The sequence below is a fragment of the Homo sapiens genome, chromosome 6 (assembly GCF_000001405.40).
Source record: "Homo sapiens chromosome 6, GRCh38.p14 Primary Assembly".
In the NCBI taxonomy this organism is placed as follows: Eukaryota; Metazoa; Chordata; class Mammalia; order Primates; family Hominidae; genus Homo; species Homo sapiens.
In genome coordinates, this window is record NC_000006.12 from 139,042 (window position 1) to 158,153 (window position 19,112).

At 47.1% G+C, this 19,112-nt stretch overlaps 2 pseudogenes across 1 annotated transcript, besides 2 other annotated features; one reads left to right on the forward strand and one right to left on the reverse strand.

The window, feature by feature from the left end:
• Nucleotides 1-1,222: 1,222 nt before the first annotated feature.
• SEPTIN14P6 (septin 14 pseudogene 6) lies at nucleotides 1,223-9,118 on the reverse strand (annotated as a pseudogene). The gene is made up of 3 exons (NR_109817.1): nucleotides 8,984-9,118; nucleotides 8,359-8,549; nucleotides 1,223-1,338 (listed from the first exon to the last, which is right to left on the reverse strand). The product of NR_109817.1 is annotated as a septin 14 pseudogene 6 (transcript).
• On the forward strand, nucleotides 3,189-6,953 carry CICP18 (capicua transcriptional repressor pseudogene 18; annotated as a pseudogene).
• Nucleotides 17,102-17,191: an enhancer, noted in NCBI's record as "active region_23796". NCBI's record gives its function as "activates an Ori minimal core promoter by ATAC-STARR-seq in GM12878 lymphoblastoid cells {active_cell/tissue: GM12878}" and the evidence as "EXISTENCE:reporter gene assay evidence [ECO:0000049][PMID:35858748]".
• Nucleotides 17,232-17,321: an enhancer, noted in NCBI's record as "active region_23797". NCBI's record gives its function as "activates an Ori minimal core promoter by ATAC-STARR-seq in GM12878 lymphoblastoid cells {active_cell/tissue: GM12878}" and the evidence as "EXISTENCE:reporter gene assay evidence [ECO:0000049][PMID:35858748]".

Here is a 19,112-nt window from a genome sequence, read left to right on the forward strand (position 1 = left end):
GCACACCATCACGCCTGGCTAATTTTTGTACTATTAGTACAGACGGAGTTTCACCATGTTGGCCAGGCTGGTCTCGAACTCCTGACCTCAAATGATCCATCTACCTCGGCCTCCCAAAGTGCTGGAATTACAGATGTGAGCCACAATGCCCGGCCTTATTTTCTACAACTTTGGTAACTTTAGCATATACCCCAAATCTGTAAGACATAATATTATAATTCAAATGCAACTCATGGCTTCTCATTGTACTCTTTCTCTAGCTTTTGAATTATTTATTCTAATACCAGTTTTAATTCTGACACAAAAGCATGGGAGTTCTAATCAAAATCCAACCTTTTATCATAAAAATTATGAAGAAATTATGAGTAGAACTTAAACAGGAAAATAGGCCTATTAATTAGATTTGTCTTTGTAGCATTTAACTCTATAATAAATAACATAATATTTTATGCCTATGAGTACCCAACAAAGCCTCCAGCGTCTATTTAGATATAAAATGTAAAAGTCACTACTGGATCCACAAGCAAGACTATGGTAAATAAATTTCTCCACCTAACCAGCTTCTTTTACATGATGTTACATGTTTCTTTTGTTTTTTCATTTTGGCAAATATTGATTGTCATCTTCTTGTTTGTCTATGTCCTAAGTGCTGGGATACAGAATCTGAAAAGATGGACACAGGACCTGCCTTCAAGTTCACCTTTTTTTTTTTTTTTTTTTTTTTTTGAGATGGAGTTTTGCTCTTGTCACCCAGGCTGGAGTGTAATGGTGAGATCTCGGCTCACTGCAACCTCCACCTCCAGGGTTCAAGTGATTCTCCTGCCTCAGCCTCCCAAGTAGCTGGGATTACAGGTCCCAGCCACCACGCCTAGCTAATTTTTGTATTTTTAGTAGAGATAGCGTTTCATCATCTTGGTCAGGCTGGTCTCGAACTCCTGACCTCAGGTAGTCGACCCACCTCGGCCTCCCACAGTGCTGAGATTACAGGCATGAGCCACCACGCCCTGCTAGGAGTTCACGCTTTAGTTGGGGAAAATATACAATAAGCAAGCCAATTTTTAAAAAGAGAACTGCAATTAGAGTTAAATGCTACAAAGACAATCTCACAGGAAGATGGGATGTAGAATGATAAGGCTCTCAGAATAGTAAGAGAAACTATTGCTTCTTACGATGTTTGTCTTTCTTTGTATCAGTGCTCAGCTGAGTCTGCAGTGCTTCAGAGGCAGCTTTCATTTTATAAAAATCTATGATTTCTCCTTCCAGTTGTTTTTTCTCTTCCTCAAGCTTCCTTATCTCCTCCTGTTGAATCATTTTAAGATGCTCGAATTTGTCCTGCAGCTGTGAAACCAATGTGCAGTTGTGACACCAAAGCAGTGTGGCTGAACACCCAAAAGAATATGCTTTTTTCTGATTATCAAACAAACCCAAATCATCACAGTAGAGCACGATCTTAATAACAATCTCAAAAACTCAGGAGTAAACACTCAGATATGGAATTTTTCTTTTCTTTCTTTTTTCCTTTTATAAGATGGAGTCTCACTCTGTTGCCCAGGCTGGAGTGCACTGGTGCAATCTCAGCTCGCTGCAACCTCCATCTCCCAGTTCAAGTGATTCTCCTGCCTCAGCCTCTTGAGTAGCTGGGACTACAGGCATGCACCACCACTACAGGTGTGTGCCACCACACCTGGCTAATTTTTGTATTTTTAGTAGAGATGCGGTTTTGCCATGTTGGCCAGGCTGGTCTCGAACTCCTGACCTCAGGTGATCCTCCCGCTTTGGCCTCCCAAAGACTTTTTTTTTTTTTTTAATATACAGACAAGTTCTCAGTATGTTGCCCAGGCTGGTCTCAAACTCCTGAGCTCAAGTGATCCTCCCACCTCAGCTTCCCAAAGTGCTGGGACTGACTGGATGCAGTGGCTCATGCTTGTAAACTCAGCACTTTGGGAGGCCAAGGTGGGAGGATCGCTTGAGCCCAGGAGTTCAAGACCAGACTGGGTGATATAACACAATAGTAAACTTCAACAGGAGAGAGAATCTGTAAACTTGAATATAGATCTTCTGAAATTATCCAGTCAGAGGACAAAGAAAAAAAGAATAAAAAAGAGAAAAGAAGGCTGGGCGTGGTGGCTCAAGCCTGTAATCCCAACACTTTGGGAGGCCGAGGCAGGCAGATTAAGAGGTCAGAAGTTCAAGACCAGCCTGGCCAACATGACAAAACCCCATCTCTACTAAAAATACAAAAATTAGCCGGGTGTGGTGGCACACACCTGTAGTCCCAGCTACTTGGGAGGCTGAGGCAGGAGAATCACTTGAACCCAGGAGGCGGAGGTTGGAGTGCAATGTGAGCCGAGACCACACATTGCACTCCAGCCTGGGTGACAGAGCATGACTCTGTCTCAAAAAAAAAAAAAAAAAAAAAAAGAGACAGAGAAAAGAAAGCCAACAAGACACCATTAGGCAAACCATTGTCAGGTTATGGGAGTTTGAGAAGGAAAGTAGAGAAAGGAGAAGAAAGCTTATTTAAAGAATGGCTGAAAACTGCCTAAATCATGGGAAAGATTTAGACATCTAAATCCATGAAGCTTAAAGATTCCTAAAGAGGTTCAAACCAAATAGATACTCACCAAGTCACAATATAATCAAATAGTCAAAAGTTAAAGAAACTTTGCAGGTCAGGACAGAATCGAATAATACATTCAAAGTGCTGAAAGAAAAAAACTGCCAGCAACTAATACTATGTCTGACAAAGCTGTCCTTCAGAAAGAAAAAAGAAATAACGTGTTTCCTCGACAAACAAAGCTGAGGGCATTCAGGACCACTAGGTCTACCTTAAAAAAATGCTTAACGGAGTTTTTCAAGTAAAAAGGAATGAAGTTGGGAGCGGTGGCTCATGCCTGTAATCCCATTTTGGGAGGCTGAGGTGGGTGGATCACCTGAGGTCGGGAGGTCAAGACCAGCCTGGCCAACATGGCAAAACCCCACCTCCAGTAAAAATACAAAAAATTAGCCAGGTATGAAGGCCACTGAGATCGTGCCACTGCACTCCAGCCTGGGTGACAAGAGTCAAACTACATTTCAAAAACAAAAAACAAAACAAACAAAAAAAACAAAACTTGAGGCCTGGCCTTCTGCTCCTCTCCAACCTCCCCTTCTCTGGGCCCAAGCCACCTTGGCTGAGGAGGGGGCGAGGAGGTGTGAGCCCCTGCCAGGAACCCCCTGCCCGGACCAAGTACTCGGCCCCCAGGCCTGCGTTCAGTGAGGCCTCCCGTGGCGTCAGCATGTTCGTGTGGAGGAATGTGGAAGGTCACTCTGCGGCTGTGTTCCCCTGGTACTCCATCCCCTTCCTGACCCCTCCCTGCAGCCACACGAGGCCCAGCAACCTGCCAGTCACTCAGTGGCCTGCAACCAGAGAAAACAACCTGCCAAGTTGCCAGCTGTTGCTCATGAGCGTCCACCAGGTGGGACAGGGAGTGTTGACCCTGGGCGGCCCCCTGGAGCCACCTGCCCTGAAAGCCCAGGGCCCGCAACCCCACACACTTTGGGGGTGGTGGAACCTGGTAAAAGCTCACCTCCCACCATGGAGGAGGAGCCCTGGGCCCCTCAGGGGAGTCCCTGCTGGACAGTGAGACAGAGAATGACCATGATGATGCTTTCCTCTCCATCATGTCTCCTGACACCCAGTTGCCTCTACCACTCAGATGATGTCAGGCCCAGTCCCTCAGTGCCCTGCGCAAGGAACAGGACTCATCTTCTGAGAAGGATGGACGCAGCCCCAACAAATGGGACAAGGACCACATCTGGTGGCCCATGAGTGGCGCTCATGATCTTCAGCAAGCGGCACCAGGCCCTGGCGGGGCGCACCAGGGTCACCCCAACCAGGATAACCGGACCGTCAGCCAGATGCTGAGCGAGCGGTGGTACACCCTGGGGCCCAGTGAGATGCAGAAATACGACCTGGCCTTCCAGGTGAAGGTGGCCCACTTGCAACAAGGACCGAAAGAAGTCCAGCTCAGAGGCCAAGCCCACAAGCCAGGGGCTAGCAGCAGTGTAACAAGGGCTCGTGGGAGCGGAGCATATCAGAGACGGGCACTGCCACTGCCCCTGGGGCGTCCTCTGAACTCCTGTCAGTTGCAGCCCAAACACTCCAGAGCTCGGATGCCAAGGAGCAGCTTCTGTGGGGCAGAACGGCTGCACACAGTCAGGGAACCTGGCTCAGCCTGGCCCAAGCCTTCTCCCACAGCGGGGTACACAGCCTGGACGGCAGGGAAATAGACCGTCAGGCACTACGGGAACTGACACAGGTGGTGTCTGGCACTGCATCATACTCTGGCCCAAAGCCTTCTACTCAGCATGGAGCTCCAGGCCACTTTGCAGCCCCTGGTGAGGGAGGTGACCCGTGGGCAGCCCTGCTGCTGCCCACCTGAGCTGCTCATTCCCAGCACATGGCCAGTGAGGACACAGCGAGTGACGAGGAGCACACGGTCATCCATGAGGAGGAGGGGGTGATGATGTCATTGCTGATGATGGCTTTAGCACCACCGACACCGATCTCAAGTTCAAGGAGTGGGTGACCGACTGAGAGTGGGGACAGCTCTGGGGAGGAGCCAGAGGGCAACAAGGGCTTTGGTGGGAAGGTATTTGCACCTGTCATTCCTTCCTCCTTTACTCCTGCCGCCCCTTGCTGGATCCTGAGCCCCCAGCGTCCCCCGATCCACCTGCAGCTTTTGGCAGTCTATGGTCACACCCTGTCCTCCTCCTACACATACTCGGATGCTTCCTCCTCAACCTTGGCGCCCACCTCCTTCTTACTGGGCCCAGGAGCCTTCAAAGCCCAGGAGTCTGGTCAACGCAGCAGAGCGGGCCCCCTACGGCCCCAACCCCTGGGGATGGGGGCCCAGGGACGCCTTCCAAGGTGGCCTGTTTCCTCCCAATGGATCCTGCCACCTTCTGGTGCAAGAGACCTGAAAGTGTGGGCGACCTGGAGCTACCAGGCTCCTCAGTCATCAGGGTCCCTCCCAACACTAAGGCTTTCCTAGGCAGGAGCTGGGCTGAGCCACCCGGGGAGCAGAGCCTGAAGAGAAACTGACTGGGCTTTAGGGGTCGGGGCAGAGGGAACCCCACGGACATGGATCCCACACTGGAGGACCCCACCACGCCCAAATGCAAGATGAGAAGATGTTCCAGCTGCAGTCCAAAGCCCAACACCCCCAAGTGTGCCATGTGTGATGGGGACAGCTTCCCCTTTGCCTGTACAGGTGGAGAAGCCGAGGACAGGCTCAGGGAACCGGAGACCGAGAAGGAGCTGTCCTCTTCACTGCACGTGCCCTGGACCAGTGCCGGCCCTGATCATGCAGCTCTTCCAGGCCCACTGCTTCTTCCTGTCCACTAGGCCACAGCCGCCCTCCAGGCCCACTATGCACACATCTTCCCCTCCAAGGTTTGTTCTGCCCCTGCCCTGACTCCCAGCCCTGTGGGGGTCCTGACCGCACCTCACCTGGCTCAGACTCTTGACGCTGCCCTGGCTGCCCCACCACTGCCTCTGCCCGAGAGTCACGTGAGGCTGAGAGTAGGGGCAGGGGCAGCAGTGGTGCCAGTTGGGGGGCGGTCCAGTGGGAGGAGCCTCAGCCTCGCGGGCTGCTCCGTGGGACTGATGACTGCATGATCTTCTGGGCACCTCACGGATCTTCAACTGCAGGTGAAACGGATGCTGGTGGTGGGTGCAGGGCCGCTGGGAGCTGCTGCATGGTTCCCAGAGGCTGGACTGGGGCAGGTGCCAACTGAAGCTGCTGGGTCAGCATGGGCAGGATGTTCTGCACACAAACCTTGGAGAAGAAGATGTGTGCATAGCGGGTCCACTGCTGCTGCCCCTGCCCTGACTCCCAGCCCTGCCTGACCCCACCTCAACCTGCTCAGGCTCTGGCACAAACCTGGCTGCCCTGCCACTGCCTCTGCCCCAGAGTTGGGGCCTTGACAGCCTGGTTGGAAGGGGACACCCCAGCCCTGCCTCAACACCTGGGGGTCTCCATAACTACCACAGGCAGGTGGGCAACCCCAAAGATCCCAGGACTCACAGTACCCCCTGAGAACATGGACAGTATGTGGGGGTAGCAATGGAGGGCAGGATGGTTATCTTCTCCCAGGTGAAGCCATTTAATCCTTTCAGTTTGGGACGGAGTAAGGCCTTCCTCTTTTTTTTTTTTTTTTTTTTTTTGAGACCGAGTCTTGCTCTGTCGCCCAGGCTGGAGTGCAGTGGTGCGATCTTGGCTCACTGCAACCTCTTCCCGCCGGGTTCACGCCATTCTCCTGCCTCAGCCTTCCGGGTAGCTAGGATTACAGGTAGACGCTACCACGTCCGGCTAATTTTTGTATTTTTAGTACAGACGGGGCTTCATCATCTTGGCCAGGCTGATTTCGATCTCCTGACGTCGTGATCTGCCTGCCTCCCCCTCCCAAAGTGCTGGGATTACAGGCGTGAGCCACCACGCCTGGCCAAGGCCTGCTCCTCTTATCTATACCCCCTAACCCTGCAGCTGTGCCGGGGGAAAGCTGGGCAATTTCCCTCCTCCGAGCCCCTGTACATACCATGAATTGTGGGACCTTCAGAGCTTTTCACTTTTCGGAAAATAGCTCCTGCTGGGGCTACAAGATGGAGTGTGAAGAGGGCCTTGGGCCACAGGGAGGCGCCTGTGGACTAGGGGGAGTTCATGCACCCCTTCTTTCCCCAGAGGGGCTGGACTCAGGTGAGTATGGGGGTGGGGGCTCCTGCACTTCGACACAGGCAGCGGGAGGGTTTTCTCCCCATTCCCTCTGCACTCCCAACTTGAGCTATACTTTTTAAGAAAGTGATTCACCCTGCCTTTGCCCCCTTCCCCAGAACAGAACACGTTGATCATGGGCGATATTTTTCATTGTGCCAAAAAGTTGCCATGACCGTCATTAAACCTGTTTAACACCAAATAATAAGGAAAATAAAATAAAAAATTCGGGCATGGGCAGAAACTCACTCCAAATAAATTACCTACCAAAATATATAATGGTGGAAATATTCCAAAATTCAATATTTTGGGATTTATACACAAAAGATAAACAAATTAGAGGCCAAGAGGCTGCCGGAAGGGAAAAACGGGGCCTGGAATGGCCGACGTGAGGAATGAGCTGGGCCTAAAGAGGCCACTGGCAGGCAGGAGCTGGACCTGCCGAAGTGGCCGAAAGGCAGGAGCTTTGGACTGGGGAGGCCTCAGTGAGGCGAGAGCTAGCTGGGCGTGGAGAGTCCGCTGTGAGGCCAAGGCCGAGGCCAGGCCCGTGCAGGCCTTCGAGAGGCAGGAGGCCGGGCCTGCAAAGGCCGACTGGAGATCAAGTTCTGCGCCTGAAGAGGCTGCCAAAAGTCAAAAGCGGGGCCTGGGAAGGCCGCCGAGAGCCATGAGCTGGGCTGGGCCGAAAGAGGCCACTGGGAGGCAGGAGGAGCTGGGCCCGGAGAGGCTGCCAAAAGGCAGGAGCTTCGCCTGAGGATGCCACAGTGAGACACCATCTGGGTCTGGAGGGTCCACTGTGAGGCAGAGGCTGGCCTGTAGAGTCCGACAGTAGACAGAAGTTGGGCAAAAGGCTGATTTGAGGAAGTTTTGGGCTTCAACAGTCAGCCACGAGGCAGACACTAGGCCTGGAAATAGCCCGACAGTCATGAGTTGGGCCTAAATGGGCCACTATGAGGGAGGAGCTGTGCCTGTTGAGGCTCCTCCAAAAGGTCATCTGTACACACACAGTAAAAATCTGGGAGTAACTGAAGACAGAGTTGGTAAGTAAAATAAGAAACAGTTATAAGAAATTAAACTATGGTATCCATAGGCACCCGGTAAAAGGTCAGTTGATGTTAGCTGCTACTTTTTTGTTGTTTAGAGACAGGGTCTCACTCTGTCACCCAGGCTGGAGTGCAGAGGCCTGATCATGACTCACTGCAGTCTCAGCCTCCCTGGGCTCAAGTGATCCTCCCACCTCAGCCTCCCAAGTAGCTGGGACTACAGGAACATGCCACCACACTAGGCTAATTCATGTATTTTTCTATAGGGATGGTGACTCCCTTTGTTTCCAAGGCCTATCGCAAACTCTTGGCCTCAAGCCATCCTCCTGCCTCAGCCTCCCAAAGTGTTGCGATTACCAGTGTGAGCCACCACACCTGGCCAGCTGCTACTTTTATCAATATTATTATTATTCCACTCAATTAAAAATTATTATTTTCAAGGCTATGCAACAGTATGTATCCTACAGCGTAATTGTAAAAACATATACAGTCGTCATCCCTCAGTATACAGAATTAGTTCCAGCCCCCCATCTCTGCATATACCAAAATCCATGCTTACTCACGTTTCGCTGTCACCCCTCTAGAATCCACGTATACGAAAATTCCAAATGTTAGTTGGGCATAGTGGCAAGCACCTGTAGTCTCAGCCACGTAGGAGATTGAGATGGGAGGATCGCTTCAGCCTGGAAGGTTGAGGCTGCAGTCAGCTGTGATAGCACTACCACACTCCAGCCTTGGACAAAAGAGGGAGACCCTGTCTCAGAAAAAAAACAAAATAAAACAGGTTAGAAATTGTAATCTAACCCTAAGCCTAACCCTAACCCTAACCACTAAGCCTAACCCCTAACCCCTACACTAACCCTAACGGTAACCCCTAACCCTAACCCCTAACTCCAAACCCTAACCCTAACCCCAAAACCTAACCCTAACCCTAACCCCAAACCCAACCCCAACCCGAACCCCGAACCTGAACCCTAACCCTAACCCCTAACCCTAACTCCTAACCCTAACCCCTAACCCTAACCCTAACCAATAACCCTAACCCTAACCCTAACCCTAACCCTAACCCTAAACCCTAACCCTAACCCTAACCCTAACCCCTAATCCTAACCCTAACCCTACCCTAACCCCTAACCCTAACCCTAACCCTGATTATTCAGGGCTGCAAACAGAAAGGATTTTGTTCACCGTCGATGCTGCCCTGAGTTGTCCCAAAGCGAGGCCGTGCCCCCAAGGTGTGTGCTGAGAAAGCTGCTCCGCGTTTTTGGTGTCCCCCGGGTCTGTGTTAAGCAGAACGCAGCTCTGCCCCCGCAAAGGCACCCCGCGCCGGCGCGGGCACGCACAGACTGACGCGACGTGCGCGCGGGAGGCGCGGTGGATGCGCAGAGAGCACGCCGCCGGGCGGGGGTTGGGGTGGCGTGGTGCAGGAGCACAGTCGCACGCCCCTGTGCTGGGGGTGGGGCGCGGTGCAGGCGCGGAGACGGGTGGAACCTCAGTAATTCGAAAAGCCGGGCTCGACCGCCCCCTGCTTGCAGCTGGGCACTACAGGACCCGCTTGGTCACGGTGCTGTGCCAGTGCGCCCCCTGCTGGCGACTAGGGCAGCTGCAGGGCTCTGTTGCTTATAGTGGTGGCCAGCGCCCCCTGCTGGCGCCGGGGCAATGCAGGGCCCTCTTGCTCACAGTATAGCGGCTGCACGCCGCCTGGTGGCAGCTAGGGACATTGCAGGGTCCTCTTGCTCACAGTGTGGTGGCAGCACACCCCCCTGCTGGCAGCTGGGGACACTGCCGGGCCCTCTTGCTTGCAGTGCAGTGGGGGCACGCCCTCTTCTGGCCCCTGGGGGCACTACAGGAACCTCTCGCTCACAGTGTAGTGGCAGCACGCCCCCTGTTGGCAACCAGGGCACTGCGGGGTCCTCTTGCTCATGGTGTGGTGCCCGTATGACACCTGCTGGCAGCTAAGGACACTGCAGGGCCCTGTTGCTCACAGTGTAGTCGTCGTACGCCACCTGCTGGCAGCTGGAGACACTGCCTGGCCCTCTTGGTGGCAGTGTCGAGGCAGCACGCCACCTGCAGGCAGATGGGGACTAGGCAGGGCTCTCTTGCTCCCAGTGTGACGGTTGGCGTCCCCTACTGGCTGCCTCCTGCACCACTTAAAGTCAGAGCATCAGTTTTTAAGCCCCATCAGTTCTGTAAATTCAACTGAAACGGAGCTAGTACTAGGGAGAGCTGATGTCCCAGTTCTTGTCTAACTTGGAAGAAAGATTTTCACCAAGAGGCAGTACAAAAATGGGAGACAACTTCATTGAAAAGAAATACAGTGTAAAGAGCTCATTGTAGAAAAATAGGGAGGAGTGGGCTGATCGTGCATGAAAACATCCTAGGAGTCCTGTGCAGGGAATTTTATTTTGGACTTCTTCACATTCCTGCCTCTGTCTCAAGTCTCCACCTGTTCTCTTTGTCTGGTTTTCCTGCTACTGCCTTAGGTCCCCGACTTGCCACACTTAGGCTTGTGGGACCTCCTCACTGTTGGTTGAGGTACATGTGTGGTGATCAATCCGAATCCACTCTGGCACCAGCCTCCTTCCCGCCATCCCAGGCAGGCTGACAGCGGTCACGTTTGTACCCAGTGTGCCTGCCTATCTCTTTTGAATGTCCTTCTTTGCCCTAATCTGCACTTAGGGTGCCAGGTTTCTCTTAAGAATGTCCCCTTTGTCCTTCTTATCAGCATGTAGCTACCAATATTCTGACATTTTTATTGCAGAGTGAATGATGGTTGGGGCATCTTAAAGAGAGTTCTAGGGTTTTTCTTTCTGCATAGGTACCTCTTCGCACTCCTACCCACAACTGACAAGTGCCCATCCACTCCAGCACTAGAGATGCTACTAATATGTGCATTTTTGGTGGTCCCTCCAGGTGAGCCTTCTCAGACTTTCCCTTTTCCAGGAGCTCCCCCTCCTGTTCATGTCTAGCTATCTATCTCCTCTAACAGAGCCCACTATCCTGTGTGTTTCCCAAAAATAGTGATGGAAGGATTAATTGGAAACCATAGGAAATGATATGCATGTAGATGAAAACTTTACAACTTACACAAATAATCACTCAAAATCATCCTTACACTAAAAATGCAAAACTATACCATTTCTAGAAGAATCTATAGAAGAAAAGCTATGTGCCTTTGGGTTTGGTAATGAATTTTAACAAATGACACAAAAGGTTGATATACACAGAAGAAATGACAATGTGGATTTCTTAATATTTAAAGTTTATACTCTGGAGAAGACCTTGTTAAGATAACAAAAAGACAAGCCACATATTGAAGAAAATATTTGCAAAATACAGATCTGAGAATTTGTATTCAAAATATATTTAAAAATTCTTAAAACTAAACAATAAGTTAAACAGCCCAATTAAAAAGGCACACAGATCTCAACAGACATCTTACCAAGGAAGATCTACAGATGGCAGGTAAACATACAAAAACATGCTCAACATGCTAGAGAACTGAAAACCACAATGAGATAGCACAGCTGGTCTGCATCTCTTAGAACTGCTAAACTCTTTAAAAAATGACAAATTGCTGGAGGAAAAACAAGAACTCTTTTCATTGCCGGTGGAACACAGTGTATAAGACCAAAATATGCCACCCCAAAATATAATGGTAGGAAACCAGAATATGCCACCCCAAAATATGTCCCTTTTGCTTAAGAATTATTCCAAGCTGATTATTTTGAAAAAAAAAAATGCTAACAAAGGAAGTTCTGAAAACAGAGTAGAAGTTACCCTTGTGTAAGGGAAATTTACATCTATAAAGGAAATCCCCATTCAAAAGCTACCTCTCTCAACACCAAGAAGAGAAGGATAACTAAATCACTAAAGAGTCTTATCAATGGAGACTGCATGGACTTAAGTCTGTATAACAAACCTTACCCTTGTCTACTGTGCTTTTGCTGGCTAACTCCCCACTACTGCACCTCAAATCTTCTTTCTTTAAGTTCAACATAGTATTTATGCTTGAATTGAAAGCCACCTGTTGGAGATTTACTCATTTTGCCCTGAGTATCTCCCATGTATCCATAAGGTATACATGTTTTTAAACTTTTCTGTTTTTCTCATTTTAATCTGTCAGTTTTTACAGAGGGTCCCATCTCAGAATTCCAAAAACATAGAAAATTATTTTTCCTCCCCTATTACAAGTTGGGCACTTTTTTCCAAAGCTAAACAAGTTTCACCTTACAATCCAAAAATCACATTCCTAAGTATTTTGACAACTACTTTGATGCTATTTCCAAACAAAAGCTACCATGCAATTATTTACAGAAGCCTTATTCATAATGAACAAAGGAAAAAAAAGGAATCAGAAAGTCTTACAATAGATGACTGTGTGGGAATCCACTCAGACATCAAAAGTTGTTATAAAGATTATTTAAATGAAAGCATTTGAGATACTGAAGATAAAGGAAGAAATCTTAGCAGAACTTACTTTATCCAGTTAAAGCAGAGCTCCCAGAAAAATACAGCTGCCATTAACCCCATCCAAGGAGTTTCTTGCAAATTCAGCTGCCATGAAGACAGCGTACTCTTTCCCATTAGCAATGATAAATGAAAATGAAATCCTAAGCTCCCAACTGACTGAACAGACCCACTCTTGGCTGAGGGGACCCAAGAGTAAATTTCAAAACTGAGTTCTCAGCTTTGCTAGCATTTGAGATTGTGATGGTTGAATAAACTAATTAAGAGCCCAAAATGAAGGCTTGGAATAAATAACTGAGGGTGTCTAATATCCCAGTTTTTCATCCTAGAATGGGCAGAGTCCTTGACCCCATTCTAGGGAGACTTCCAAAAGAAAAAAGACCTGCATTTCTTCAACAACCCACATTGAGAGACTTTCTTGCACTTTTGACCTGTGGCTAACACTCCTCACCTTTCATTCTGTCATCAGTGTTTTGGGGAAACACCTTTAACTCTCTATGATTCACAGGTTATTAAGTGGTCCTTATAATTCCCTCCAGAGATGCAAAAGACTAATGATGGTGTCTGAGCTCACAGCAGCAAGCAGGCGTGTGTGCACAGCAGCCACGTGGCTCATCTGCTAGGAGCTTACTAAATACGATGTTCTACAACATTGTTTAACGCAAGGGGAGACGCTCCTACTCAGAGGGTTTAATTGCTCACCTACTTCTTTTTCTGCCTTCTTGGGCTCCTAAAATGAAAAAAAACCCTGGAGTGATAAAGTGAATCAAAGGGGTACCAGCTGCATCACAGCAAAATAGATTCCTAAAAAATCCCTGGCCTAAGATGACAGCCTTGGCTGGATAAGCTTGAATGTGCTGATAGTGGACATGGTAGAATGAAGGTGGTTGAAATGTTCATATTAAAGAACTTCCACCCAGATTGCAAGAAAAGAGAGAGGAATGGAGATGGCAGCACAAGCCCCTACAATAAAAGCAGATGTTTTGAGATCAGTTATATTTGTCCTGAAAAAAATAAAAACAGAAACCAAAGTTTAGCCTGAGGCTACAATTAATTGGGCAATAAGCCAGAGGCATATATGGCATAGACAGACTTAAACATTTCTCCCTTGTATTAATACAAATACTAAAATTACAAATAAACTGATTCCAAATAAAACAAATACTTTAAAAATTTAATGAATAAACACTGGAGTCTACAGTAGCATTTGAAGGAGATCTCACAAACAGGTTTGGTTTCTGAAGGTTAGAACTGATGGTCTAGAGAATTCATTTCATTCCAGAGACAGAAAGAGAGGAATTTCTTAGGCTCCTTCAGGAATGCGTCTGGCTTTGCATCATCTTTGTATGTTTGAACTATGCATATGGCGTAAGAAAACAGGATTTCACAGATTTAAGGTGCGAAAAGTCACTGGGTTCTCTTAAGAAGTCTGGGATTATTCTGCTGGAAAAATAAGTTTGTTGAGAAAAAATGAGTTGGAGGAGGCTGTTATTGAAGTGAAGCAGAATTGTTTTTACTAATCTGCTTATTACCCACTCTGTAGTGTGGAAACAAATTATTCATGCACAAGGTCCTCTCACTGTTCCTGGAATGCAGTGGAAAGAGAACAGATTAGTTTTTCCTCCTTCAGAACACAACCACTAGAAACATCCTACCTCAGATGAGATATTCCCTAATTATTTTCAAAAGACAGTGAAAAACGATGGATGTAAATGTTTGCTACAAAATAAATACATGGTAGAAACAGAAGCATCTGGGTCACAGCTATATTAGAGCTACCTGTGTTCCCCTGTCACTGAGATTAAAACAAAAATGTCCAATACAATCATTCACAGCATGGGAGAGGGGAAGTTGAAGGGTTAGGAAACGCCAGTCATAAAAGGATTTCAGAATTTCAGTCCATAAGGAAGTGGTTTTGTGCATTGTCTGTTCTTGTGTGCAAGGTGAAGTCTGGAGAACAGAAACGTGCAGTAACAAGGGCTCCTTTGTCCATATCACCTCTCTAGATATCAAGTTTCAGACATGTTGCATTTTAATTGAAAGGTTGATATAATTTTTTGAAAAAGAAAACTTGTGGTGTTTGAAGTGACAAAGACTGCTGTGACAAAAAAGCAGGGAAAGGGAATTTTTTTTAAAAAAGCAAACAACAACAACAAAAACCCACAAAAAAGCAAACAGCAAACAAACAAAAAACAGGGGAAGAAGTCGAAACACCCTGGGTTGTGACTACTTCCAGGAAGGGGCTACAAGAGGCAGTTGGAAATTCTATTTGCTTTGCAACTGTGAGTTTTCCAGCCTGCTCCCTTTCTAAAGTATATTACTCTGCTTTTGGTTCATGAAGTTATCCATTTCTGTTTTCTGGAACAGCTATGTATTTTCTTTATCTATCATCTATCTATCTATTTACCATCTATCTTTTCTACCTTTCGCTATCAAGAGCTTGGGTCAAGCAGGATAGAATTCCAGTGTATGTTCACTCTACCATTTAAAACAAGAGCTCTTGTAGGCATTCTCCATCACATCATAAACCTGAGCTTTCTAAAACAGGGTGTGGCAAACTACCATGCATGGGCCAGGTCTGACACAGTCTGCGTTTGTAAGTAAAGTTGTAATGGGACACAGCCACATACATGTGTTATACAATGTCTCTGGCTACTTTCATGGTATAATGGAAGAGCTGAGTCATTGAGAGAGGGACAACATGGCTTGGAAAACTTGAAATATTTAACATTTAGCCCTTTGCAGAAAATATTTGCTGACTCTTGTTTTAGAAGATCTCTCTTTAGAATGCTACCTATTGCCTTCTGGATAGAATCACAACTCTTTACCACAATCAACACACAGCCCTGCTTTTATTATTTCCACTCCTCCTCCTTATTTTCCTTCTGACAATGCCGATGGATTGTCAGCTTCCCAGATGTGCAAGAATCTCTCCTCCCTTCCCGACATTCTCATGCTCTCCCTCTGCCTCTCAAGAACTTCCTGTCCCATCTCTCATGACAAATCTCTTCTTCATTCTTTAAGATGCAGCCCCTTTGCTCCTTCCTTAAGGATGTCTGTCTGGCTTTATTTTGGGTGACATGCTCCTTCTGCATCTCCCAGAGCCAGCCTCTGTGTGTCAGCTACAGCATTTCTTTGCATCTCTGTGTCATATATCATCAAATCTGCCTAAGCTTGAGTGAGTCACTGCATGACAACTTCAGACTCCACCAGCATTGTCTGCACTAACAACGAGGCTTAGAGATTTGTCCAGTATGCTCGGGGTTGTGGGGTGGTAGCAGTAACCAGCTGGTGAGCATCATCTCTTACATCAGAATGAAATCTGTAGATCTCTGCCATTCATAAGTATTTGGAGCTTAAAATTAGCATAAAGATTTTCCTTAAGAACAAATGGCTTGAGTAGGCTTTTGGAACGTAGGATATTTCTGCTCGTTCATTTCAGCGTTCAGTATTCCCACATGAATCTAAACACGGCTCTGCTCTTAGTAACTGTGCGACCCTGGGAAAGTCACTCAATCTCCCTCAGCTAAATTTTGTTGTGTGAGTAATGAGAAGAGAGTTGTGGTTTGTATTTAGTGAGTAATAACAAGCAAAAGGCATTTAGCTTTCTGGAACCTGGTATGTAGTAGATCCTCATGAAATACTAGCTCTGTTGATAAAACTAGACTGAAAGAAGCTTTCAAAGTCAACAACAGTATCATGTAGTGACGGACGTAGATGAGAAGCTGCTGCTGCAGCTTGCAGCTCCTGGAGGCCAGTTTTGTCCATGACTTAGCAGGAATGCACTACCTTTCCATGAGGAGACACTGCCCAAAGAAACCAAGGCCATTCTTTGAGGACAAATATGTTTTAATAGCTTTTATATTATGTAATAGTGTAATACAAATACTAATTTATTAATCATAATGTGAAATTATTTACATTGTTATGTTAAGACTTTTGTACAGAAATTTACACCTAGATATTCTGAAGTTGGTGGTCTGTGAGTGGCATCGAGTGATGACTGACACATTCTGACCTGGGGTAGAACAACACGTGTCCCTGCAGTTTGCTGAATTTCAGGGCATCACCACCTTTTTTCAAGAGTGTGTTTTCCTATCCTCTAGAGTTTTGCCCACTTAAGCAATGGCTTTGCTGTAATAAAGAATTACACTATTTATCAAAATATTACTTTGGAGAATACTGGTTCACATAGTTCACTTTCAAGTTTTCTTAAACTATCAGGCCCATAGCTAATGCCAGTGGCTCCAAGGATGAGAAGGTAAAAAGGTCTTTTTTTTTTTTTTTTTTTTTTTTGGCCAAGACAAAAAAACTCCACATTTCAAACTTTACTGTCTCATGCTAGTCCCTGGAAAATTAGAAGTGAACACACTCCCCTCCCAGCCCAATCACAGCTAATGAATAACCAAGATCTCCTGCAGGTGCCTTTGCCTTGGGTTTGTGAGCCTGGAGTTGCTGGTTGGCACTGGGCAGCAGGCAGCAGAGCTGGTCCCATTTCTCCATGCTTTTCCAACTCTGTAGGGGACACAGGCACATTGAACAAACTAGGTCCTGGCCTGGCACTGGCTGGGAAGCTATTTGATGTCAGGCTCAATGTGGACTTCTGAGTTGAAAAGAGAGTATGGGTCACCCAGCCCCACTTACTCATTTTACCAAGAATGAAAATGGGGATCTATTTCAGACATGAGATTACACATTGTAAGACTGTGCAAGCTTGCCACACTTGTATCCGCTCAGCACACACTTTCTGAGTGCCGAGTGTCTCCAGCAGGAGAGGGGCTCTAGTTCCCGGGATCCCACCCTCCACAGAGGACAGCAGCACCTTGAGGGACAGATGTGCAAAGGGCAAGGTGGGGGCCCTTCTGCTGGAGAGGCAGCTGGGGAGGTCCTTAGAGGAAGTGACACCTGAGCTCTTCTCTGAAGGGTGAAGCTGAATTACTTGAAGCTTAGGGTGAAGGGGTGTCCAGGGAAGTGGAGCCTGTGAGCCGAAAGCAAAATGACTTGTCCAGAGAAGTGTAACAAGTTCCATATTGTTTCAGTGCCAAATCTGCACAGGAGTCACCAAACGAAAGAGCAGGATCCTGGAGCCAGGGCATGGGATTTCACCCGCTGGCAATGGGACTGTTCACTGGGAATTCTGGGGGGCAAAACCTGAAAATGTTTCCTCTTAGCTCCAATTCTCTGTCTCTCTGTCTCTCTGTCTCTTTCTGTCCTTCTCTCTTTCCCTTATCTTTAATTTTTTATTATCCTAAGAAAACACAGATGTCTCAGATGTGGGGATTAGCAGCCTGCCTCTTTCTGGATGACTCAGGGGAGCACTTTGGCCTCTGTGAGCTTATTTACAATAATTCACAAATCTTGCCAAAAAGAAAAGTCATGGTAGCAGAGGTTAGAAAACCTCCTAGTATTTCTTCTGATGCTTTGAATTTATGATTAATATGTTTAATCTTCATCTTCTGAAAAGTCACCAGTTGCACAGTGAGGACCATAAAGGTAGTCTGTTTCTGTGGTTTGTGGCTTCAACAGTCAGCGGTTTTGCAGCAATAGCATTGCATGTGGGTTTTAGGCTGATGATGCTCAACAGTGGACAATCCTCTTCACCTGCCTGGGCCCCACTGCCTGCCCTTCCATACAGTGCAGGGTCACAGCTGAGCTCTCTGAGACACCTCGCAGGATCTCGGCTTCTGAACTATCAAGTGTCTTCCAGGTGAAGGCTTGGTCTCATAGCCTTTGTGGCTTCCTCCAGGTAACACTTGGTCTTCTGACCTAACCCTGGTATGTGTGTGACACACATGTGAATGTGCTCCCTGTGGCAGCGCTGAGGAAGGACTCAGTCATCACAGATGCTGAAAGGCAAATGCAGTGTGCTTTTTTCCAACATCTCCAGTCTTGCATTATTTTTACCCATCAGCCCATTTGAAAAAGAAAAAAAAAAAAGTCCCCTGTTAGAATTAAATCCCCTCTGGAGATAATGGGTATTTTTTAAATCTTTCACTTTTTTTAGTCACATTTGCTCCCAGTGCCTGCCAGGATCCACTAGAGGGCAGAGACACCCGTGTATATTTGTGTGGCACTTGCTGAGTGGTAATAAAAACAGATACCCTGCCCTCCCAGAGCCAACCTCCAGTGCCAGGGCCAGTGGCAGCAAGTAAGAAAACCTCGGTTTCTGTATCTGCATCAGCTACACGGTGCTCGCACACAGGAGGCATCAACCAGTTTTCTCAGTTAAAGAGACAGAAACAAAATGTGTCTTCACTACTTTTTGAATTTACCATGTTATCTAATGTTTTAACTTAATTGACTGAATAAACTCCCTATGCATCTGGACACATGCATGGAAAATTCACAAACATTTCAAATGAAAATAGAGTATTATGACAAAAGAGAATTTCTTTTGATATGTGAATTTCACTTTTTTCTATCTTTTAGTGATTTTAATGTAATGAAATTGAGAAGTCTGTGCTTCTAAAAGCCTTAAGAGCAAGGTATTTCTCCATTTTGAAAAAAAAAATTTGGCAAAATATCTTCTACTATAGATAGAAGTTAATTGGCTGAGGGTAATAAACAGAAGATTAAAAAACAAGCTTTATCCCCTGCTATTCTGTCAAGGGCTACAGTGAATTACACACTCTGGCATGGGTTTGCACGCCACGTGCTGGAAGCCAGCAGTCATGCAGGCCATGCTCTCCCACACTTAGGAAAACAGCGCATGAGAAAGATCTCCATCAAGTTCACACAGAATGACCTCCAGCAAGACCTGGAAAATGCTCAGTTCCACAAAATACCTGTGTCCAAATCCTTTCAGTGCACAGCTCTGGCATCAGGTTCCTGTGAGGACAGACCCTGA